We start from the raw sequence: 26,425 nt of genomic DNA, 5'->3' as shown, positions 1-26,425 counted from the left end.
ATATTCTCCCTGGAAACATCATTAGCCATATCCACTCAAAGGCTAGGCTTCTTGTGGGCTGCTCACAGCCACTATCTGAGTGTGGTAGGATACTAAGGTAGGCGCCTCCATACAGTAACAAGTACATTTAAAATAAAAGAGTTTGGAAACTACAACCGTTGTATTTTGTTTATGATGCTTTGAATTGTGATTTTGGGCAGAGCAGTGCTTCTGCTCCACGTATTTTTGTCTGGGATCAATCTCTCAGCTGGTAACTGGGCTGGTAACTGGGCTGGGCAAAAAGATCCAAAAAGGCTTTGTCTGCATGTTTGTCATCACCATGATTATTCATGTGGATTTTCTTTCTTTATGTGGCTGAAGTGATTTTCTTCATGGTCATCTCAGGGCATTTAGACTTCTTTCATGGCATCTCATTTCCAAAAACAACAACAACAAAAAGAAACAAACAAACAAAGCCTTCTGAGCAAATGAAAAAAGCCTTATGAGCAAATGACATGGAAAGAAATTGCATGATCTAAACCTCAGTCTCATATGTTACATGTAATCATTTCTGTTGTTCTTTTGACCAAAGCAGGTAACATGCCCAGCACAGATTTCTGCAGAGCAGAAATAAACTCCACATTTGATGGGGGCATGTGTGGCAACCATGAAAGTGAATTACTCGGCTGTTCAGCAACAGGGAGAGTGACTGGTTGACATCTCCAGCTGTTGCACTCTGACTGTACCACCATAATACACTCAAAGACCACACTTCCTGCTCTCTCAGCCAATGACTGAGAGTGGCAGGAACACAGAGGCAGGCTCATCTTACAAGATGCAGAAATTCTTTAACATGCTACTTTGTCCTGAGAGGTTCCCAAGAGCCTGGCATAATCTTTCTAGGAACTGTGCTGCCATCTAAGACAACCTATTCTGCCTTCCTTCCTTCCCTGTCTTCACAGAGGTAAGGCTTGCCTCATGGTCAGAAAGCTCTCTGCACCTTATCTTCCTTTCTCCCCTGTTCCTCTAATGGGTGTTTTCCCCAATTAATGTCTTGCACCTCTAATCTTGGTATCTCCTTCTCAGGGGACCCAGACTAACCCAGCCTGAAAAGGCAAACAGAGCACGTGGGATGAGACCCTGTTGTGGTTTGAACACTAAGAGAACCGAAGGATTTACCTGAAACCTCACAGTCAACATACCCTGCCAATATAGAGAGCTATCAGAGAAGAAGTCAGTAACAGCAGAAAAGACCCATTAATCTACCTAATTCTTCATTCGTAAACATGAATAAACAGCCAAAACCCACCAGACACTTAAAGTGGAGCAGCATCAGAAAGGCAAGGCCTATGTTAAACAAGACAAAATACTGTTTTCCAGAGGAAGTGGAGATGAGAACTTTCATCAGAATTTTTCTTTCCTGTGTACTGTTTTTGAAAAAATTAAGGATATACTTCTATAAACTGAAAAATAAATTAAGAAAAGCAGGGATAAATATTATGGGGGAAAAATATCTAGATCCTTTAGAGTGGCCTAGAAGGCGTTCTGCAGGAAGGGCCTGGATTCATTTTCCAGTCCTCAACCTCAGGGCTGGTCTCTACACATCCTGGTGCATGACCCTCATTAAGAGCTTACAGTTTTCTCCAAGATCAGGGCTGTTCTGAGTCTCAATGTCCCAGCTCCTCTCTCACTGCACACATGCTCAGATATGTATGTCTTGAAGTTGGAATTAGATAAACACTACACTCACTGAACTCCGTTTCTTCTTCTTCATCTTTTCCTCTCTTCTGGATATTGTAGAAATTTCTATACAAGCCAGAATTCAAGAGACTACAGTATTCATTTATATTATATAACATTTTGTCTGAGACTTTAAAAATTGAACGTCATGATGTGTTCTCATGAACTGAAACTGTGAAGATTCAGTCTCTTCATCAGTAATAGTTTTATTTTATGTGTAAAAAAGCAGATCAATGTGACTTCACAGATATTCAGCATTTGGGTTATATAATCTTTTGTTTTTAACATTTTCTTATACTTCTTATCTCCATGGCATAAAAGTTGCCCTCCTGAATCAAGTTCCATCTACCATTTCCAGAATAGTTAATATTTTTTTCTGGTTCTTAGTAATACGTTGGTTAGTTGGTTTATGTTCCTAATGTTGGAAGGGAAACAATGTAAGCTTTTTATTTTGACTATAAAAGGAAGTTAACTAGAGAAATGGAAATGAAGAAATTATTCTAAGTCAAAAATAGGACAGTGGCTAATATTATTAGTATGGCTTTAAGTCCTATCAAATGAAAATGTTCTCTAGGTATGTATTATAAAATGATGGGCATAACATGAGGAAGTTACAGAGTGGTAAGCTGGACAGCTAGAAGGTATTTGAGTTTTATTACTTTCCCCTTAAAAACTGGAAAAGTACCAAGACAGGCCATTAAAACAGGCAGAGTGAGAGAAATAAACCATTGTCTTTATAGAAAGGCACATATTACTTTTATGAATATTATTTTTAAAGCTGAAAGTAAAGAACATCAAAAAGAAATTAGTAAAGACCATCTGGACTTGGCAGAAGCCTAGGGATGTGCCTTCCTTCCATCTGAGGTGAGGTTCCATTCTCCAGGAACGATAGCTGTCAGTCTTACCTTTCTGGCTCTTTGTGTCCATCTGTCATATGGAGTCAGGACTAGAAAATCGCCCAGGATCCTTGCAGTCCACAGTTTAAGCACATTATGAAAACTCCAGTTGGGCTGAATCATTTCCTTTCATTTATTTCAAAGCTATAGTTAGATTCATGTAGGTGCCATTTGAAAGTGCAGTCTATTCAACCCACACATACGAAATCAGCAGAGTGCCTCTAGCAACCACACTGCAGTAGCCATACTGTCCACAACCTCAATTCAAATTCCAATGTTATACTCAGACAAAAAGTGCTCTTCTTTTTTGCACTTAAATATAAGAGCAAACTGGTAGAGTGGAAAAGAACATGTTTATAATGCTAAAAATCCTCTTATTGTTCTAATTAGCATATATACATAAACATGAATTCATCTCAATGTATGACACCTAATTTATAAGTAAAAATGCTATGTGAAAATTCCAAATATGTATTCAAGTGAAATGTTTTACATATTGATACCTTTTATTGTTTTTTAATTATTCATGTATAAGTGATTTGGAAAATGATTTGGAAAACATTCAGCATCTTAATGGAAATAAATACCAGAGTTTTGCCTACAGGGATGATTTTATATTGAGAGAGAAAGAGAGAGGAAGGAAAGGGGAAGGAAGAGAAGGGGAGAGGAGGAGAAAGGATGTGAGAGGAGGCAAGGAAATGGGAGGGAAAACTGCAGTGCCTGAAGCAAGTCTGTCATGACTCTTATTCCCACATAATTTTAAAAAGCACTAACAATTGTGCTTTGTTATTCAATAACATAATTACTTTACAATTACCTGTCTTCTAATTTTATCTTGAAAGAGTGTGTAACTAAAAGAAACAAGGGTGGCATTGGTGAAAATAACACAAAAATATACATTTTTAATATATTACATACATTTGAAGTCAAAGAAGTGAAAATGCTTAAGAAATCTGTTTATGCACCAAAATCTATGTGCATGAGAGCACATGTAAAAAATAAGGCTATGATTCCAAGTTGTGGTTTAACAACCAGAATTTTATAAGGTTATTAAGTTGTACCACAGTATCTATTAAGTACTGACCTTTGCCACAGAAACTTGGCATGGACTGTTTTCTTTAGGAAACAGATACAGCAAGAGAGCCTCTGGTTTCTGTTAGATTTATACAGAATATTGAGCTGATCAAGCCATGTTTATGGTAACTGTCCAAATATAGACTATAAAAAAACATGATAAATTAACCTTAAAGTGGTAAGTCTGAGTGATATTAAGTGGCCTGAAAATTTAATTTCAATTAAACCATTCTTAATGAACTTCCTGGTGATTAGGCAATTCTTTGCTTTGTTTACCCTATTAGTGTAAGAAAACTAGGAAAATGTCATAATGATACAGGAAATACCAAACATACCATAAAAGAAGACATGGACTCTGGATGAGATTTGATGTGTGATATCATTTTTCTGCTTTAAATTTTTCAACAGTAAACTTGGCATCTGTCCAATACTTATGATTTTTTTTTTATGTATGTGCAAAATCATTCCATTCTCACAAGTATCTGATGAGGCAGCCAGCATTATTATCTCCATCTTTTATATAAAAACACTGTGATACGGAGAGGTAAACAACTTGTCACTAGTCACACGGCTTCCCAGTGGCTTTGCCTGAAATACCTTTCATAACACACAAGGCCCATTCTGATGTGGTCTCTGGTACATATATAATTTTTCTGGTATATATATGTGGCCTCTGGTCTCCTCAAGAGCCAGGCTTCCTTTCTCTTAAAACCCTGCCTGTCACCATGCTAAATTTCTTCAGTTCTTTGAACAAATGATACCCTACTGGAGAATAATAAATTATTTCTGCCTTCATCTTGCAATGGTTATAATAATATTGAATAATTGTTCGATATGAAATAATACCAGATGGATTTGTCTTTCTATATAGCAACTTTCAATTAATAGGTCAGTATTTATTATGTTGTCCCCTCCTTACCATGCTGAGATATAATAGTATAAAATTAATGAATTAGAACATATTTAGAAAAAATATAGAAAAAGGAATATTTCCATTTTCTTGAGTGAGTGGCAAATAACTCTACAAATCCAAAGTGTGAAAGAAAGCATTAATTGATATTTATCAAGCCTCTAGACATCAAAAGAAAGTTTAGTGTATGGCAGAAGAATTAAAAGACTAACTGGATCTCTGGAAGCAAAATATATCCTAGCAATTCCCAGACATAATTTATCATGAGTGTCATGCATGACTTATAGAAATGTTAATAGAATAAACTGATTTCCGATTGCACCAGCAAGCCTACTTACAGAATCAGATACCTTTAAATGTTTTAATATCTATGGCTGATATATGTCAACTTCCTAGAAACAATTTCAAGTTAGCAAGTATTTGTATGAAAGACCTCTATATTCTAGGATAATATGTCCAAAAAAGGGAGCCAGTACTCTGAGAAAGACAATATTCAAGAACAGCTGCACATAATAATAAATCCTCACCAATGTGCTACATCAATTATTTTGGCTTAACTGAGTCATCTTCCTCTAACTCCCGAAAATGAAGAGATATTGGCAGTGACTAGAATGACTCATAACCACAATAACACATTTCACAAACATTCTCAAGAGCTTGAGCCACAATTCATAAGATAACAGCTATTAACATGTAAACCAAGAGTCCCTTATAACAGAGAAGCCAGATTGTAAAAAGAAGTTGAATTATACAACATTATACTGGTCAATACATAAATGTTTACAAGTATCACTTTGGCTGTTTAGTTAATCATTGCTTTAGTTTCAAGATGAGTCTTTCACTTTTCAATCTCAAATTAGGAAATCCTTTCATTCTCTTTTATTCTTTTCTGAAATATCCTTTTAAAAGGGTTTTCCTAGTGGTTTAAATTCTGATATTTTATATATTTCTTGGGTTTGCAGTCTTAAATATTTGAAAACATTACTCTACACTTGGTCTAAGAATTTTCCACCTAAGAAGGAAATATTTATTTCAATTTAAAATAATTCTTTAGAATCCAATGACATGGAGGATTATTGTCACATGGGAGGAATCAAGACCTCTGTCTAATACATCAAATCTATAGTCACCATATTTTCTTCAAACTATCTAAATTATTATGTATTGTAAAACATTTAAAATCAAATAAATCTGTAATGAATTAACATTTTTTTCCATTTTTTTGGATATAAGAAGTTTTTATTTGAAAAAATAACATTGCAATAAATCAAATCAAATATGGGCTTTCCATACAATATCACATTTTTAATTTTTAAAATCAAATTTTTAATTTCAAAAACTTATAGTTTTATATATACATAATATTAAAGTTATAAATGAAAAAGTCTGTTCAGATTATAAAATGGGTAGGATAGAACCAATATACAACCTAGTATATAATATTAATTCCTACATATGGGCTTCTCTACATATAGTCCATTTCTCCTTCCAAATCCAAATCTGTCAAGCATGTATCCTGGGAGGCTGATTGATATAGATGACACAAATGGTTTTCTTTACCTCATGGCTTCCCCAGTAGTAGGCACTGGCAGGAGAATAGTGGAGGGAAAATATGGTAATCTGAATGACGTTCCCTCAAAAATGTCCATATTCAAATCCTCAGAATATATGAATGTTACCTTACATGGCAAAGGGGACTTCATAGCTATGATTAAGTTAAGGGTTTTTGATATGGAGAAATTATTCTGCATTATCTAGTGAGCACAATCTAGTCATAAGTTTCCTTACAAGAGGGAGGTAGGAGGGTCAGAGTCAGAGAAAGAGTGAGAAAGAAGGTGTTGTGAGGACAGAAGCAGAAGTCACAGTCAGGGAGAGACATGAAGATGCTACACTTCTGGCTTTGGAGATAGAGGAAGGGAGCACAAGCCAAAGAATGCAGGTGTCCTCTAGAAGCTGGAAAAGGCAAGGAAGCAGATTGGCTCCTGTAGTCTCCAGAAGGAGCACAGCCCTGCGACACCTTGACTTTTAGCCCAGCGAGACCCATGGGGGAGTTTTGACCATCAAGAACTGTAAAGTAATAAACGTATATTGCTGTCAGCCACTAAGTTTGTGAATATTTATTACAGCAATACCAGGAAACTAATACATAAACACAGGGTAGTCCTTCCCTCAGCCCCTTGTCTGCAGATTAACCATGAGCTGAACGAGTTCCTCTACTGAAGGCCAGCTCTGGTCAAGTGGCCCTCTCCATGCAGCTAGCTTCTCTGGGATCTGCAATCACTCTATCCCTCCATTTTTAGGCCTTAGGGCCACCTGCACTTGTTAGTTTCTAATTAATCCCTTGTTAGTTTCATGAATCCCTGCCCAAACCTATGTAAGTAAGCAAACTGTCTAATTACCTGAATTTCAGTGTGATATGTTTCCTGCTGAGACTCTGAGACCCTGCAATATGCAACTAAGTCTTGAATAGAAAGTCACTCAAAGTTAGTCCTGCCAAGTATTCCTCTATGTACTTTATTTATGTGTGCATTATGTCACACTTTTCATGGGATTCCATATTCATCATTTAAAAATCCATTCATTTAACATACATTTTTGATTGCCAACTATGTGCCAGCCTTCATGCTGGTTAGTGGACATACAATGTTGAACAAAAGTGGGCAAGGAATTGCCCTAATACAGCTTACAATTTTATAGAGGAAGGCAGACATTAATAAATGAATCACAAAATAAATGTAATATTGTATAAGTGCAATGAAAGAGAAGTGCTATAAGAACTTAGAAAGAATTTTCCTAGCCAGGAAGGCCAGGTAAGACTTATGTGAGGAAGTAACATGTAATTGAAAAGCTTAGGATAAAGAAGAGGAGGAGGAGGAAGGGCCACATCAGGCAAGGCGAAAATATGTGCCAGATCACTATAGCAGGAAGGAACATGGTGAGTATCAGGTCATGAAAAACAGACTGCAGTGGATGGGACAGACAGTGAGGCAGATATAAGACTGGAAAATGTGAAGAGGCCAGACTATCAATGTTTATCTTAATGAGTTTTCTGTTAAGTGTATATGTAATGGGAGTGGGGCAGATGGGTAGCAGTTTGATGTGTTTGATAAGGTCTGCTTTATGTTTTCAAAATATTATTCTGAAAGAAAAGTAGAAAACTCTTTGAAAGTAAATAGAGTACATTCATTTATACATTCATTTAGTCATCAACAAACATAACTGAGATTTTCTTAAGTAATAAGCACTCTTGTAGTTATTGGTAATATAAGGAGGAACTAGGCTGTCAAGAGTCCAGCCTTATAAAGCTGAAATTCTAATGAAGGAGACAGACACTTTGACAAGTATGTATTGAGTAGATACTACATATCAGTGAGTGCTCTAGGTACTCAGGATAAATCAGTGATCAACACAACAGAAAACCCTGCCCTCACTGAGTGAACATTCTAGTAACAATAAATGAATACAGGTTATAATATGATGTAGTAATAGAATTTCATGTAGAGAGAAGTGTTACAAAGGAAAATATTATAAGGTGTACTTATAAGGGTGGACATAGAGGATGTGCTGGGGTAGAAAAGATAGCAGGTGATTACACCATCTGAATAAAATAGAGAGTACCTGGAACAATAGTTTGAATGCCATGAACATAGAGTGAAGCAGTTTGATTCAATAAATATTTGGAGGAATTTTTGCTGAGTTGGCAGCGGCTCTGGTATGACAGTGAATAAATAGGAGGTTTTGAATATGACTGCTAGATGTTTGGAGCAATGCCATTCACAAAGATAGAGAATACTGGAAAAAGGTTAGGTTTGCATGAGAACATCATGTGTTTATTTTTATATGTGTTTAATTTGCACAACCTAGTTTTATACACAGATTTATTGTTTGGAAAATAGATCTGGTCCAGAGAGATGAATTTGTGAATGTTCTCATTTAAATAGTAATGAATCCAGAAGAATAAAGATCATCAGTGGAGAAGCTATACATTTAAAGAGATTTTTATCTTGAGTAACTACACATGTAATTTTGAAATAAAGAAGAACAAATTTCCTAAGAAACCAGGAAGGTACAGTCACAGAAGGAGAGAACAGTGTCATGAAATTCCTGAGAAGAGAGGGCTATAAATCTATCTGTCCTTCTGGGATAGTGGTTCATTGAAGATAAGTTTAGGTAATTCATTTTCATATCATTCCCCAGCTGCAGACACATGGCATAGGGGTATGCACATAGAAGATATTTTTTAAAAAAACAATTATTTAAATACACGTCACTATGTCTATTTACTCTGATTGGTGCCTACACAGGAATGCTTTCATTCTGGTAGTACCAAAGTGGCTTGCATGTGGCATGCATGTGGCAGGCTCTCTCTTACTTCCTTTCTGCATTTTTCTATTTACAGAGTGAAAAATAAAATAAATTTAAGCAACATTAAATATTTATAAAAATAAACATCCAGCAAGTCATTAAATGAAGTAATCATTTTTGTTGTAAATAATTTGCTGCTTTCTAAGACAGTAAATGCAATGAACTGAATATTTGTGACCCCTCCAAAATGTATATACATATAAATTCTACCTCCCAACGTAACATATTAAGAGGTGAGGACTTTGGGAGGTAATTAGGACATGAGGGTGGAGCCCTCCTGGTAGATCAATACTCTTATAAAAGGGACCACAGAGAGAGCTTGCACTCTCTTTCTACCAGATAAAGATACAACAAGAAGTCAGTAGTCTGTAACCAGAAAAGGACCTTTGCCAGAATTCAATTATGCTGACATTCTGATCTCGGATTTTCAGCCTACCTGCCTCCAGAACTATGAGAAATAAACTTCTGTTGTTTAAACCCAAAGTGACTAAAACAGCAATACAGAGACACTTTAATAATAGTAAAGAGGCTTCCCCAATCACCATTCCAGAATTGGGAACAAGCTAAAATTGCAATAAAGGCAGACAGTCCTTATGGTTCTTAAATGTATGCTTTAGAATTGCTCTAAATTCCCACCAGATTAGATAAAGGTCTACCCTATAATGCTAATGTTATAACTACATCTCTGAATACTCTTTAAATCGAAATATCTATTTCCCCATCTGTTTTCATGAATTATTATGATAAAAATTAAATCTGTAATCTAGACCTATGAATGACATACATTTTGTTCACATAGTTAAAAGAATGAAAAAGTAAAAGAGGAAAGCAGCATTAATTCCCACATACAGATGACAGAAAGGAGTGAGAATTTGGGCAGTAAATCTCTATTTGAATGAATTAATTGCTTTATTTACCCAGAGGTAAGTCAGTTAGATAGCTTTTTCAAAGAGCAGAAACAAAATTAGGTATAAGATTCCTGTCAAGTGCATCTTCAGCCAATTCCTTGATGTTTCCATGAGATATTTTGCAACCTACTTTCTTGTTTTAATTTTATTTTGTTGCTCAGAATCTCAGATCAGATTTAATGAAGATTTGTATGTGCTATTTATAGAAAGAAACGGCGAACCAATTTTTATAAACATTCCATCAATAGCCAGCCTAAGTTACCCTAAGGGCTGAGAAATATGAGATTTTTTTGTGTCCATATGGGGAACTGAATGGCCCTAATCAGAAATGGTTTCATCAGACTAAAATTTAAATTGGCTAGAAGGGATAAAATTGGTAAGGTCGTAGGCCAATTCTGTGCATTTTCAGTCCACATATTTCAAACTGTAGTAAATAAAGAGGTCTTTAAGCTGGTGCTTGTATCAAGTAAAGAGCAAGATTGTTAGTTAATTAAAAAAAAATGCTGGCTGCTTATAACTCAGAGTGTTCAAAATACATAACGAGGATTTGTTTTGAGCAGGTATAGTAAGACATACAGACACAAAAACTATTGCATGAAGGAAGAAGTTGTTATTACAGTCACAGTCTCCTAGAAACAGGTGGCACGGCACACCTGCAGAGCCACACAGGGAAGCACTGGAGGGAGATGAGCAAGTGAAGAGAGAAGGGGACTTTGTGGGAGAAGCCTTTATTGTGGTTCCTAGTTTTCAAGGGAAGGAATGGACAGAGCAGGCTAACACATGTTAAAATTTAAGACTGGATGACTTGAATGATTTCTGTAGAAGTCTGAGAAAAGGAGATGGGTGGGGGTGTGAATTCAGGGTGGATTGGCTTGCATATCAAAGGTATATTGGCAGGCAAGTTGGTTGTTATCTCTAAGAAGTAGTTAATCCTGGGAGAGGCAATTCTCTGTGTTTGCCAGGCTTCAAATGCCAGAGCACCAGGGATACAGAAAATGAGAAAATATACTTAAGACATAGAGATAAGAAAGAAAAGGAAGATCCTGTTTGCTCCATACCCAAGAAAATATACTTTGGCATAAAATCCAAAAACTGGGATGAAGAATAAAGGCACATCAGAATGTCCATAGCTGGCCATTTGTGGCTCATGCCTGTAATCCCAGCACTTTGGGGGGCTCATGTGGGAGAATCACTTGGACCCAAGAGCCTGGCCAACATGGTGAAACCTCCCCACATCTACAAAAAATGCAAAAATTAGCCAGGTGTGGTGGCATGCACCTGTAGTCCCAGCCACTCGGGAGGCTGAGGTGGGAGGACTACTTGAGCCCAGGGAGGTGGAGGATGCAGTGAGCCGAGATCACGCCACTGTACTTCAACCTGTCCAACCTGGGTGACACAGAGAGACCCTGTCTCAAAAAAAGAAAAGAAAAGAAAGAAAGAAAAGAAAAGAAAGCAAAAGAGAATGCCCATATCTGAGAAAGCATTTTCTGTGGCTACCTTCTCTCCTAAATTTTGTTCCTTGATTTCCATCCATATTGGTGACCCCAAACTCTAATCTTTGTCTCTTCAGCCCAGCAAGAATGCACTGCCAAGCTTAAACATTGTCCCCCCTGCCCCCAGAAACTATAAAATACTTCCAGGAGAAAATTCATAATAAATATGAAGCTCACCTCATGCACTTCAAACTCTTTCAAGGATTACAGCCCGGGTTTTCTGTTTGATTATCCTTTGAAGTCGAACAATTATTTTCTTTTGGTGTTATTTTCTTGTCCAGCTTTCATAATTTGCTATCATGCATAAGTTAGTTCATTTTGACTTCTCATCTTCCTTTTTGAAAGACATTTTTCACTGGATATGATATTCTAGGTTATTTTCTTTCAATACTTTGCAGATATTATTCCAGCATTTTCTGCTTTCATTGTTTCATTGGAGTAGTCAGTTGTTGAGACAATTATTACTTCTTTGAAAATAGTCTTTTTTTCTTCCACTTCTTTTAATGTCTATTCTTTCTCTTTTCTCCCCAGGGGTTTTACTATGAAGTGCTAAGGTATGGATTTCTTTTTACTTATATTTCTTCTGATCCTTTAGGTCTTCTTGAATCTGTATCCTGAAATCTTTCTTCATTTTTAGCAATTACCTTCTCAAATATTCATTCTGTCATTTTCTCTCCTCTCCTCCTAGAACTCCAGTTACATGCATGTTAGACCTCTCTGCAACTCTTACTCTCTTTCTTTTCTCTATTTTCCATTATTTTGTCTCCCTGTACTTCATTCTAGCAATTTTCTTCAGTTTCATGCTTCAGCAATTTCTAACCTGTTATTAACTTTATCAATTAAATTATTTCTTTTGGTTATTTCATTTTTTTAGTTCTATAATATGTATTTGTTTCACATTGTATTTTTTTGTTCTCTACTGAAATTCTCAGATTTGTCTTTTAAGGCCTTTTTCATATTAAGCTAGTTATTTTAAAGTCTGTAACTGATAATTACATTATCTGAATCCTCTGTGTCATTCTTTATGATTGTATTTGTTTCTCTTGATTTTCTAACACGATGGCTTCTTTCCTTACAGGCCTCATATTTTTTTCATTAAATGCCTGATACTGTATATAATTAATTATAAAAGTAATTTTTGAATCCCAGGTCAATGTTTTCTTCCTTCTTGAGAAGATTTATATTTGCATCTGACAGATGTTCAAGGGTCCTAGTAATCTGGAATCACACAATCGATTTCAAAAATTGAGATGTTTGAATGGTGAGATTTAGTGCTCCTGTGGGCTGGTATATTTCCACTTTTCCTCTAAATAATAGACATATCAAGGGGTAAAGCTGTTTCAAATATTATGCTCATCTATCTATTCTTTGTTCTTCTCTAGACCTTAATTCTGTTGTCTTTCTGGATTTCTTGTGCTTCAAGCAGCTATTTTAAATATGTTTTATTAGTTTTTATAGCTGTTCTCTGTGGATGGACTAGTTTGATTTGCCAAGTAATAACTGGAATTATGGGGTATGTTCATTCTCATGGCATCCTCAGAGCCAACTATTGATCATTTCCCTGGTACCCAATGTATATTTGAAATGGCCACATTTAGAAGCTGGCAAAATCCTTACAAGGCAAAATCTTGACCTGCAGGGTAAGAGCCATGTAAAAGCCCCTGAAATGCCTTCCCTCTGCTAAGGTAGTGATACAATAATGGGTCATGGAGGAGTGCAGGTATTAATGATCTTCTCAAAGACTTAAATAATATAGCAGTAGTAGCCCCATTCAATTCCCCAGCCTGGTCAGTCCAAAAACTTAATGAATCATGGTAGATAATAGTAGTCTACTGCAAACTTAACCAGTTGGTAGCCCCAGAAGCCACTGCTGTGTTAGATGTGGTGTCTCTTCTAGAGCAAATTAACACAATTTTGTTTACATAGTATGTGGCTATTGATCTAATGAATACTTTGTTTCCCATAACCATTAAAAGAAAAAAATCAGAATCTTCTGCATTCACCTGGGAGAGATGACTACATATATTTCTGGTTTTCCTGAAGACTATATTATTTATCTTGCTCTCTATTAGAATATTGTATGAAAGAACTATCTGGGCATCCAAATGAAAATAATCCATTCAGTAGATAATATATTAATCTACTATACTGATGATATTATGTAATTGGTCCTGATGAACAAGACCTGGTGAGTCCTCTAAATACCTTAATAAGACACATGCATTCTCAAGAATGAGAGGTAAGCACTGCAAGGATTTACAACCCTGGTACATCAGTGAAGCTGAAGCAAAAGATGTTTTGTGCCTTGCACCTCATGTAACTAAGAAGGAAGCAGAACACTCTTTGAGATTTGGAGACAGCATATATTGCAGTTGGAAATACTGACCTAACCTGTTTGTTGGATGAGACAGAGGGTCCTGACTTTGTGTGGGCCCAGAACAGGGCTCTGCCATTTAGGGCACATGACTTGAAGGTCCCATGGTAATACATGTATCTGAGGTGGAAAAAGTACCATGTGGAGGCTCTGGCAAATCCTAATACAAGATCTATAATACAATCACTTGGATCCTGTAGCAAAACCATGCCATCCACAGTAGATAACTATACATTATTTTAAAAATAGCTTTTGTTTTGCTAATGATCTCTGATAGAAGCTGAACTGACCAAAGGACATCAAGCAACCATGCAGCCAGGACTACTCATTATGACGTAGGTATTATCAAACCCTCCAAATCACAAGGTCAGGGATGGGGAGACACTGTGCAACAATCTTTCATGATACGGAAATGATATATCTAGAATTACGATTAATTCTAGAGGGCATAAGTAAGATGTAACACAGGAGGCCAGGGCCCACCGTGTTTTTACCATTCTCTCACTGATGCTTCTCTCAGCTCATGGCCCTAAGGGAGTTTCCCTCTGATGAGCTTACAGAGGAGGAAAGAGCCCAATCTTAGCTCATGGATGTGTCTGCTTGGTATGTGAGTGCAAGCCAAAAATGAACTGCTCTTGGACAAAACCCCCATTTAGGAGTGGCCTGAAGGACCACAGTGAAGAAACTACCTTCCAAAGGGTTGAATTTGGACAGTAAATCAGGTCATCAACTTTATTTGGAGAAATAAGTGGCCAAGGTATACTCAGATTCATGGGCAATGGCAAATGCCTTAGACAGTTGAACAGAAACCTGGAAGGAATAGTATTGAAAGACTGGGGAGAGACATGGATAGAACTATGGGAGTGGGTACAAAATGTGAGTGTTTTTCCATGAGAGACTATCATAAGAAGAAGAGTCACCAAACAAACAAGTTGATAGAATTAGTTTGCCAGCCCTATGCCCCTCGTTACTCTTTTTTTGAAGAGTAGAGAGAACTTACACAATAAATTATGTCAATAATAATCTTCACCTCACATTCTGACCTATGCCAGGGTAGATAAAACCACCCAACTGTCAAATAAAGATGAAAGACTACTTCTCTTGGACTAAAATTTGAGGAGTAAAATAATTCTCCAAGAATTTGGGGCCATCAGCCTTCCTTCAAATGGGCTCAAAATTTATACACACATTGTTTGTATATGGAAGAATCCAAAAATAAATGTCAAAAAATTCACTGTATGTAATCCAGGTTAGTAATAGTTCCATATGCCTCAGTCCTTTTAAATACAAAAATAAATTCTCTCTGCAACGATGTATGCTCAATCAAGGTCTAATATTTTTTCCACATTAAAAACCTGATGACTATGAATTCATGATCTCCAATAACAAAACACACGAATAAACAAGATGTCATGTGTGAGAAACAATAAGCGACATAACTAGACATTCTAGGATATTATATATTTGAAGTATCTCATGCAAAATAATTAAACATAGATGTTTAAAATATTTAAATTAACTAAAGAGGCAACACAAATAAGCAAAGAATACAAGACTATGAATAAATAATGAAGATTTAAAAATATACCTTCCCTCTCAAAACCAGGACTTTGGAATATCTCCATTTCTGTCATATTCAAAACCAATGGAATTAAAATAAAAATGAATGTGGATGTCAACAAACCAATCCTGATGTTTATATGTAAAAGTAAAAGAAGCAGAATAGCCAGAAGCAGAATACTGAAGAAGAACTAAGCCAGAGGATTGACACTATCTGACTCACCTAACTTCCAGACTTGCTTACTATAAAGCAATAGTAATCAAGACAGTGTGGTAATGGCAAGAGAATACACAAATAGATCAATGAAACTGCTTACAGGGCCTCAAAATAGACTCACACAAATACAGTCAACCAATCTTTGACAAAGGAGCAAAAGTCATCTAATGGAGAAAGTTAGTCTTTCAGCAAATAGTGCTGCAAAAACTGGACATCCACATGGAAAAAAAATAATAAATAAATAAGAATCTAGACACTGACTTTACAACCTTCACAGAATTGACTTGAAATGAATCAATTACCAAAATGTAAAATGTGAAATTAAAAAACCTTCTGGAAGATAACATAGGAGAAAAACTAGATGATCTTGAGTTTGGCAGTGAGATTTTAGATAAAACACCAAAGAACAGGATCTAGGAAAGAACACTGGATAAGTTGGATTTTATTAAAATTAAAAAATTCTGTTCAATAAAAGTCACATAAAGAAAATGAAAAGACAAGCCACAGACTGAGATAAATATTTACAAAACACTTACCTCATAAAGAACTTGTATTCAAAATATATAAAGAATGCTTAAAATTCAACAATAAGGAACCAAATGACCCAATTAAAAAGTGTTCAAATATCTGAACAGATCCCCATGAAGAAGATATGCTGATGGAAAATAAATATATAAAAAGATACTTCAACTCATATTATCAATGAATTTTAAATTAAAATAAAAATGAGATACCACTACAAATCTATTAGAATAGCCAAAATTTAAAACATTGACACCAAATGTTAGTGAGGATGTGGAGCAACAGAAACTCTCATTTGTTGCTTTTGGAGATACAAAATGGTACATCCATCGTGGAAGAGACAATTTTGCAGTTTCTTACAAAGCTAAATATAATCTTGCTATACAATCCAAAAATTGTGCTTCTTGGTATTTACCGAAAACATATTCACACAAAAAGCTGTGCATGAATGTTTAACACAGCTTTACTCATAATTGCCAAAATGTGGATGCAAACAAGATGTCCTTCAATAGGTGAGTAAATAAACAGTCCACGCAATTTACATCCACACAATGGAATATTAATTATTTAGTGACAAAAGGAGATGAGCTGTCAAGCCATGAAACAACAAGGAGGAACCTTAAATACATATTGGCAAGCCAGTCAAACAAAATGCCCTCTGTGATTATAAGACATTTTGTAAAAAGCAAAACTACAGAAACATTAGATCGGTGGCTGCCAAAGGTTTGGGGAGAGGGCAGTGAGGAATGGAGAAGGATAAATAGAGAAGAAGGATTTTTTAGGGCAGTAAAATTATTCTGTATGATTCTATAACAGTGGACATATAACATTAGGAATTTGTCAAAATCCATAGAACTGTATAACACAAAGGGTAAACCCCAATGTAAACTATGGACTATCGTTAGTCATTGTTGGTTCATCAATTGCAGCAAATATAACATATCAAGGCAAGATGTTAATAATAGGGGAAATTGTAGACAGAAGGAGAGGAAATCTATGGGAATTCTGTATACTTTCTGCTCAATTATTCTGTAAACTCAAAACTGTGCTAAAGATTGTCTTTTAATTAAAAATTAATTAGGAATTAATTAATTTGAAATAATATCAATGGATAATTAAATATCAGATTAGATATAGCTGAAAATAAAATTAGTGAACTACAAAATAGATCTTTAAAATTACAGACCATAGCAGAAAGATATAACACTATAAAAATATTATAATAGTTGATTTAAGAGATAACATAGCATGATAAAATCTGCCATATGCATTCTATTTAAGTGTAAGCAAACAGAATAGTGTTACTGCATTAGTTGCAATACTTGAAAATATATTATCTAACAAATTCCTAGAATTGATCAAATATATGAATCTAATGAATGAAACTTTAAAACTGCCTTTAATAAAGAAAAGAGATGATAATGATATTAGAGCAGCCTCATAATTATCAACAATGCAGACCAGGTGGCCATCATGTAATGGCTTAAAAACTGAATTAATATAATTCTCAATATTAGAAAAAATATCAGTGTATATTTGCCTATAAGAAAACTAATCAAGATTTTTATACACAAAATTAAAATATCACTGACATAAATAAATAAGCAGTTCAACTGAAACTTTTAGCTAGTTAGCAAAATACCAAAAATGCTAATTGCAGAAATAATGTTCCTTTTAATAATGAGGCATAAAAAAATTAGGCAATTTAGAAAAGCTAATGTCAATTTGAAAGGAAAAAATCTTACGGGATATTTTGTGAGCTTAAATAACTTTAAGCAAAAAAATGTACACCTCAAGATTTAGTCTAAAAACAGTTAAAAGACAATAAAACATATACTTGAATATGATTTAGTGTCAAACAATATAGAAAATGAAAATGATTATTATAATAATCTTGAAGCACTATAAAGTTTTAAAAAATTTATGTGGAGAAATTTAACAATCAAGTAAAACCAAACTTGAAAAAGGACTAATGAAATTGATACAGCCTTGTGTTAAATGTATCTCTACCTAAGCAAAATAAATATTGGCTCTTCAGTTTATTCTGTCATAAATTCTAATGGAAAACTGTGAATATATACACCGTGACCAAAGGAAGCACAAACTTAGCACAGAAATTGGGATATGAGAAATGAGCAAAGACTTATATAAAGGCAAGAGACTCTAACATAGGTTATAGTTATTAAAAATGTGTAGGAAATTTGAAATGTGGGTGAAAAGATTTTATTTAGGGCTTTAAATCCAACAGATCCCTTGAGAAAAATCATCATTACAGGAAAGAAATGAAAAAAATATATAAATAGTTTATAGATCCATACTTTTCTATATTAAAAGAAAATTCACATATATTATGTTAGGATTATAGATTTCTTCTTTTCTTTATATTAGTCTTATAAAGTAAGATAGTAAAGGTAGGGAAATGCAGAAAAATGCAGCCTGCTCTGTGATTTGGAAATGTGAGCTCTGGGTAGGCAAGAAACAAAAATCCAATAACTGCAAGTAACTCAATAATCCAGAGTTTGTGGAAATTTAAAGAAACAATAATTGTAGCAGTTGGAAAGAAAAAATGACTGAGCTGTATTACTATTTATGCTCTCAGAAAACATTATAGCAAAGTCAATAAAATATAAACATAAAGGAAACGAACTGCATTTTAAACAGATGTTGAAGGGAAGCATTTGACTGGGAATGAAATAAATGGCAGACCAAACACTGGAGGAGCTTTACTTTATCAAATCATTTATATGACGTGACAAGGGAGGAGAGTCTATGTTTTAAAAGGGAGGCTAGGATTTCTTAATAAATGCATCATTATGCCAGATACATTAGTTGATTTAATATAAATATCAAATACTTTAAAATATATCTATGTACATGCATATCTGTAATTAACTAGACAGAAAGATCTTTTAGAAAAAGCTCAAAATTAAAGAGCTGTTCTCATAGAATAAAGGTTGTCAATAGGTGATTTTATTAAAAATTTGCATGCAGGAGGCACCTGGGACAGAATGTATTATTTGTAAAATACATATTGCTTTCAATATTTCATATATATGTATGATCTCAGGCTAGAAATAATAAAAATCCTTGTTTGTATATACATGAAAAAATGCAAAATACATAATTTCCTCCTTGTAATCATAAAAGCTTATGAATTTATATTTTCAAAAGTGGAGATGGCGATTTGCAGCGGCAGTGTCACGGTGAAGAAAGTAGTCAAGGAAGTTTATGTTTAAAGAGACAGAACATCACAAGTTGGCTACAAGTCCTCTCTAAAGATAGGGGGTAATAAGGGACAGCAGGATACAACTTGGGAGCAGGGAGAATATTCTATGTTACCCTTATAAGCAAGAGTTCAGAAACAGCCAAGAAAAGGCATACTTCAGCCTAGTATACAGCAAGAGGTCACCTACAGGCATCAGTCCTGAAAAGCAATAAATTTCATTAAAAAATAATAATAAGCCACAGGCTGCTAACTGGGAGAAGAGAACATGGTTAAAAAAAAAAAAAACAACAACAAAGTGTAACTAGTAAAAAAAAAATGTAACTAGATCAGGCCTTTTTAACAATAAATGATTAAGGAGCCCTAATAAACCTAAATAAAACTTGAAAGCAAAGATTGTCTTGGAATTAGTGTATAAGCAAAGATAAACTCATATCTGGATCATACTAAGAATCATGCAATTCACAATATGCTAACAAAAGATGGTAGGTTTAAATTTTATGTAGCATGGGCCAGGCACAGTGGCACACACCTGTAATCTCAGCACATTGGGTGGTGGAGACAGGAGGATATCTTGAGGCTAGGAGTGCAAAACCAGCCTGGGCAATGAAGTGAGACACCTTGCCTTGAAAGAAGAAAAAAAAGAAAGGAAAGAAAGGAAAGACAAGAAAGACAAGAAGAAAGAAAAACAAGAGAAAGAAAGAAAAAGAAAGAAAGAAGAGGAAAGAAAAAGAAGAGAAAGAAAGAAAAAGGAAGAAAGAAAAAGAAGAGAAAGAAAGAAAAAAGAGGAAAGCGAGAAAGCAAGACAGAGAGGGAGGGAGGGAGGGAGGAAGGAAGGGAGGAAGGAAGGAAGGAAGAAAGAAGCAGGAAAGCAAGAAAGCGAGAGAGAGAGGGAGGGAAGGAAGGAGGGAGGGAGGGAGCAAGGAAGGAAGGAAGGGGAAAGAAGAAAGGAAAGAAAGAGAAAGAAAGAAAGAAAGAAAGAAAGAAAGAAAGAAAGAAAGAAAGAAAGAAAGAAAGAGAAAAAAGAAAGAGAAAGAAAGAGGGAGAGAGAAAGAAAGGGAGAGAGAAACAAAGGGAAAGAGAGAGAAGGGGGGAGGAAGGGAGGGAGGGAAGGAAGGAAGGAAAGAAATTTTGTGTAAAATGAAAAACGCACATTTTAAATAGTTAAACTGAAGAATGACCTAATATTAACTTAATGTGTGCACAAACTAATATACACACAAACACCTCTCCCAAAATTTAAAATGTTCTTTCAGGAGTCATAGCAAGATGGTGGAACAAAAAGCTCCACCTTTTGTCCCCCTCACTGGAACACAAAATTTTAACAACTATCTGCACACAGAAAAGCACCATCACCAAGAACCAAAGATCAGGTGAGCAATCACAGTACCTGGTTTTAACTTTATATTGTGGAAAGAGATATTGAAGAGGACAGGAGAAGCTGTCTTGAATAACCAATGCCACCCCTTCCCCATCCCCCTGGCAGCATCTGTGCATCCCAAACTGTCTTTGTACTTAGGGGAACAAGAGCACAGTGCCTGGGGAAACTTTACATTGAACTCAGTGCTACACTGTCACAACAGAGAGGAAAGCAAAGCTGTGCTGGACTCAGCCAGCACTCATGCATGGAGGGAGTCTTTGGACCAGACCTAGCCATAGGGGAATCACCCATCCCAGTGGCTGGAATTTTAGTTTCTTGGCAAGTCTCGTCACTGCGTGCCAACGTGCTCTGGGGTTCTAGGTAAACTTGAAAGGCGGTCTAGGACACAAAGACCGCAATTCCTAGACAACTTCTATTGCTGGGCTGGGCTCAGAGCCAGAGGACTAGGGAGGCGCTTGACCGAGAGATATACCAGCTCTGGTGGCTAGAGGAGTGCTTGCAACAACTCTCCTCCAGCCCTAGGCAATGCAGCTCATAGCAACAAAAGTGACTCCTTCCTTCTGCTTAAGGAAAGGAGAGTGAATAGTAAAGAGGACTTTGTCTTGCATCTTGGATACCAGCTCAGCCACAATAGGAGTGGGCACTGGGCAGAGTCATGAAGCCCGCATTCCAGGACCTAGCTCTTGAACATACCAAAGACCAAAAGGTAACCCACTGCTTTGAAAGAAGGACCCAGTCCTGGCAGGATTAATCACCTGCTGACTAAAGCCTTTGGCTCCTCCAGTGATATCCAGGTAGTATGCCACGGATCTTGGGCTTCAGGGGAGACCCAGCACATTCTCAGCTGTGGTGGCTATGGTGAAAGACAACTTTTTGAGAAAAGGCAGAGGGAAAGGCAAAGGAGACTTTGTCTTGCACCCTAGGTACCAGCTCAGTCATAATTGGGTACAGTGACAACCAGGCTCCCAGGGTCTCTGAGTCCAGGTCTAGACTCTTAGACAGAATTTCTGGACCTGGCCCTGGGCCAGAGGGGTGCCCACTGCTCTGTGGGGTGAGTCCCAGGACTGGCATCATTCACCACAAGCTGACACAAAAGCCCTTGGGCTTTAAGCGAACATCAGCGGATGCCTGGCAGAACACCCCATGGACCAGTGGTGGTGGTGGCCACAGGGAGAGGCTCTTCTACCTGTGGAAAGGGAAGGGAAGAACAGGAAGGTCTGTGTACTGTGGTTTGAGTGCCAACTTAGCCACAGTAGAAGATAACAGGTAAGTTGCTAAGGTGTTTTACTCCAATCCCTGGCTCCCAGATAGCATCTCTGGACATGCCCAGGACCTAAGGGTATTTACCACCCTGAAGGGAAGGGCCCAGAGGAAGGTTCAGTGCTAGGCTGACTTCAGGTCTGACCCAGCACAGTCTCAGTGATAATGTCCAAAGGGGTGCTTGCATCACCATATCCCCAGTTCCAGGTGGCCAGCACAGAGAGAGATACTCCATTTGTCCAGGAGAAAGCAAAAACGAAAACAAAGAATCTCTGCCTCATAATCCACAGATTTCTTCCAGATCTTTTTCAAGATCACCAAGGCAGTACCTCTATGAGTCTGCAAATGCCACAGTATTATTGGGCTTGGGACCCAATCCCTTGCGATACATGGAAAGCCCTTCCAAGAAGGACAGGCACAAAAACCCCATACTGTGACAACTACAATAAATACCTTACTCTTCAATGCCCAGACATTAAAGAATATTAGGCATCAATACCATCCAGAAAAACATGACCTCACCAAATGAATTAAATAAGGCACCAGGAACCAATCCTGAAGAAACAGAGACGTATGATCTTTCAGACAGAGAATTCAAAATAGCTGTGTTGTGGAAACTAAAAGAAATTCAAGACAGTACACAGAAGGAATACAGAATTCTATTCAATGAATTTTAAAAAGAGACTAAAATAATTTAAAAGAATCAAGCAGAAATTCCAAGGTTTAAAAATGCATTTCAAACACTGAAGAACGCATCAAAGTCTCTTAACAGTAGAACTGATCAAGCAGAAGAAATAATTAGTGAGCTTGAAGACAGGTTATTTCAAAATACACAGTCAGAAGAGACCGAAAAATAAATTAATTAATTAATTGATAAATAACAATGAACCATGTCTACAGGATCTAGAAAATCACCTCAGAAGGACAAATCTAAGAGTTATTGGCATTAATAATGAGGTAGAGAAAGAGATAGGGTTAAAAAGTTTATTAACAGGGATAATAACAGAAAAGTACTAAACCTAGAAAAATATGTCAACATCCAGGTACAAGAAGGTGATAGGACACTAAGTAGATTTAACCCAAAGAAGACTACTTCAAGGCATTTAATAATTGAACTCCCAAAGATCAAGGATAAAGAAGGGATCCTAAAAGCAGCAAGAGAGAAGACACAAATAAGGTACAATGGAGCTCTAATATGACTGGCAGCAGACTTTTCAGTGAAAAGCTTTTAGGCCAGGAGAGAATGACATTACAAACTTAAAGAGCTGAAAGAAAAAAAAAAAAAACTTTTACCCTACAACATTATATCTGGCAAAAATGTCCCTTAAATATGAAGAAGAAATAAAGACCTTCTAAGACAAACAAAATTGGAATGATGTCATCAACACCAGACCTGTCCTACAAGAAATCTAAAGGGTGTTCTTCCGTGAAAAAGAAAAGGATGTAAATGAAGGAGAGGAAATAATCTGAAGGTACAAAGCTCACTGGTAATAGTAGGTACATGGAAAAACACAGAATAGTATAACACCGTAATTGTGATGTGTAAACTTCTCTTGACTTAAGTAGAAAGGCTCAATGATGAACCAATCAAAAATAATAACTACAACTTGTGAAGACATAGACAGTATGCTAAGACATAATAAGAAACAACAACAAAGTTAAAAAGCAAGGGGATAAGTTAAAGTGTAGAGTTTTTACTAGTTTTCATTTAGAGTGCTTGTTAATGCAATTACTGTAATGTTGTTATTAGGCTAAAATAATGGGTTATAAGTTAGTATTTGCAAGCCTCATGGTAACCTCAAACTGAAAAACATACAATGGATACACAAAGCCTAGAAAGCAAGAAATTAAAGCATAGTAACAGAGATAATCATTTTCACTAAAAGGAAGACTGGAAGGAATGAATGAAGGAAGAGAAGACCACAGAACAACCAGGAAACACATAACAAATAGTACCAAGCATCTTTTCTGACCACAATGGAATAAAACTAGAAACAAATAACAAGGAATTGTGGAAACTACCAAAACACATGTAAATTAAACAATATGCCCCTAAATGACCAGTGTGTCAATGAAAAAATTTAGAAGGAAATTGAAAAGTTTTTCAAAACAAACCATAATGGAAACAACATACCAAAACCTATGGGATGCAGTGAAAGAAATACTAAGAGGATATTTATAGCTATAAGTGCCTATATTGAAAAAGAAGAAAAACTTCTAATAAATAACCTAATGATGCATCTTAAAAAACTAGAAAAACAAGAGCAAACTGAATCCAAAATTAGTAGAATAAAAGAAATAATAAAGATCAGAAATCAATGAATATGAAATGAAGAAAACAATACAAAAGATCAATGAAACAAAAAGTTGCTTTTTTGAAAAGATAAACAAAATTAACAAACCTTTATCTAGACTAAGAAATAAGCAGAGAAGACACATATAAATAAAATCAGAGATTAAAAAGGAGACATTACAACTGATACCACAGAAAATCAAAGGATAATCCGTGGCTATTATGAGCAACTATATGCAAAAAAATTTGAAAAACTGGAAAAAACAGACAAATTCCTAGACACATACAACCTACCAAGATTGAACCATGAAGATATCCAACATCTGAACAGATCAATAAAAAGTGGAAAGATTGAAGCCATAATAAAAAGTCTCCCGGTAAAGTCTGGGACCTGATAGCTTCCCCATTATATTGTACCAAATATTTAAAGAAAAACTAATGCCAATCCTACTTAAATTGTTCCAACAAATAGAGAAAGAGGGAATACTTCCAAACTCATTCTACAAGGCCAGTATTTCCCTGATACCAAAACCAGACAAAGATACTTCAGAAAAAGAAAACTACAGGTCAATATCTATGATAAAAATTGATGCAAAAGTCATCAACAAAATGTTAGCAAACCAAATTTAACAATACATTAAAAAGATCACTCATCATGACTAAGTGGGATTTGTCCTAAGGATTCAAGTTTGGTTCAACATATGCAATTTAATGTGATATATCACATCAACAGAATAACTAACAAAAACTGTATAATCATTTCAATTGATGCTGAAAAAGCAATGGATAAAATTCAGCATTGCTTCGTGATACAAACCCTGAAAAAACTAGAGATAGAAGGAAGATACCTTAACACAATAAAAGCCATTTGCAAGAGACCCACAGCAAGTATTGTACTGAATAAGGAAAAATAGAAATTATTTCCTATATGATCTGGAACCTGACAAGGATGCTGACTGCCACCACTGTTATTCAACATACCACTGGAAGTCTTAGCTAGAGCAATCAGACAGAAAGAAACACAGGACATCCCAATTGGAAAGGAAGAAGTCAAATTCCTTTGTTTACAGATAATATGCTCTTATATGTGGAAAAACCTAAGGACTCCAAAAAATAACTATTAGAACTGATAAACAAATTCATTAATATTGCAGGATAAAAAAATCAACAAGCAAAATCAGTAGCATTTCTATATGTCAACATTGAACAATCCAAAAAAGAAATAAAAAACTCATTCCACTTACAACAGCCACACATAAAATTAAGTACCTGAAAATTAACTCAATCAAAAAAAGTGGAAGATCTCTACCATGAAAACTATGAAACAATGATGAAAGAAATGGAAGATAATACCAAAAATTGGAAAGATATTTCAGTACATGTATTAGAATAATCAATATTGTTAAAATGTTAGTATTACAAAAAGCAATCTATAGATTCAGTGCAATCCCTATCAAAATACCAAAGACATTCTTCACAGAACTAGAAAAAACAATCCTAAAGTCTGTATGGAACTGCAAAAGGCTCAGAATAGCCAAAGCTCTCCTGGCAAGAAGAAGGAAACAGGAGGAATTACATTGCCTGACTTCAAATTATAGCAAGTGCTATAGGAACCGAAACAGCATGGTACTGGCATAAAAACAGACACATAGACCAATGGAACAGAAAACAAAAACAAATCCACACAACTACAGCAAACTCATTTTTTACAAAAGTGCCACGAACACTCACTGGGGAAAAGACAGTCTCTTCAATAAATGGTGTTGGGAAAACACAATATCCTTATGCAGAAGAATGAAAATTGATGCTATCACTCACCATATAGAAAAATCAAATCAAAATGGATTAAAGACAAACTAAGACTTAAAAATCAAACTATGAAACTACCAAAAGAAAACATAGGGGAAAATATTCAGGACATTGGTCTTGGCAAAAATTTCTTGAGTAATAGCCAACAACCAAAGGCAACCAAAGCAAAAATGGACAAATGGAATCACATCGAGTTAAAATGTTCTGCACAACAAAGGATACAATCAACAAAGTGAAGAGACAACACAAAAAATGTGAAAAAATATTTGTAAGCTACCCATATGACAAGGTGTTAATAACCAGAATATATAAGGAGCTCAAAGAATTCTGTGGAAAATATCTAATAATCCAATTTAGAAATGAGAAAAATATTTAAATAGATGTTTCTCAAAAGAAGCCATACAAATGGCAAAGAATTCTG

The 26,425-nt window shown here is 35.7% G+C and overlaps 1 long non-coding RNA gene across 1 annotated transcript in view; it reads right to left on the bottom strand.

Moving 5' to 3' along the window:
- LINC02234 (long intergenic non-protein coding RNA 2234) overlaps positions 1-2,867 on the bottom strand; it is an 82,718-nt gene extending 79,851 nt beyond the window's left edge. The window contains exon 1 of the long non-coding RNA NR_146299.1: positions 2,625-2,867. This is a non-coding gene — a long non-coding RNA (long intergenic non-protein coding RNA 2234). The remainder of the gene's footprint in view (positions 1-2,624) is intronic.
- Positions 2,868-26,425: the final 23,558 nt, after the last annotated feature.

Source organism: Homo sapiens, chromosome 5 (assembly GCF_000001405.40).
Source record: "Homo sapiens chromosome 5, GRCh38.p14 Primary Assembly".
Classification (NCBI taxonomy): domain Eukaryota; kingdom Metazoa; phylum Chordata; class Mammalia; order Primates; family Hominidae; genus Homo; species Homo sapiens.
This window is presented reverse-complemented; position numbering and strand designations above follow the sequence as displayed.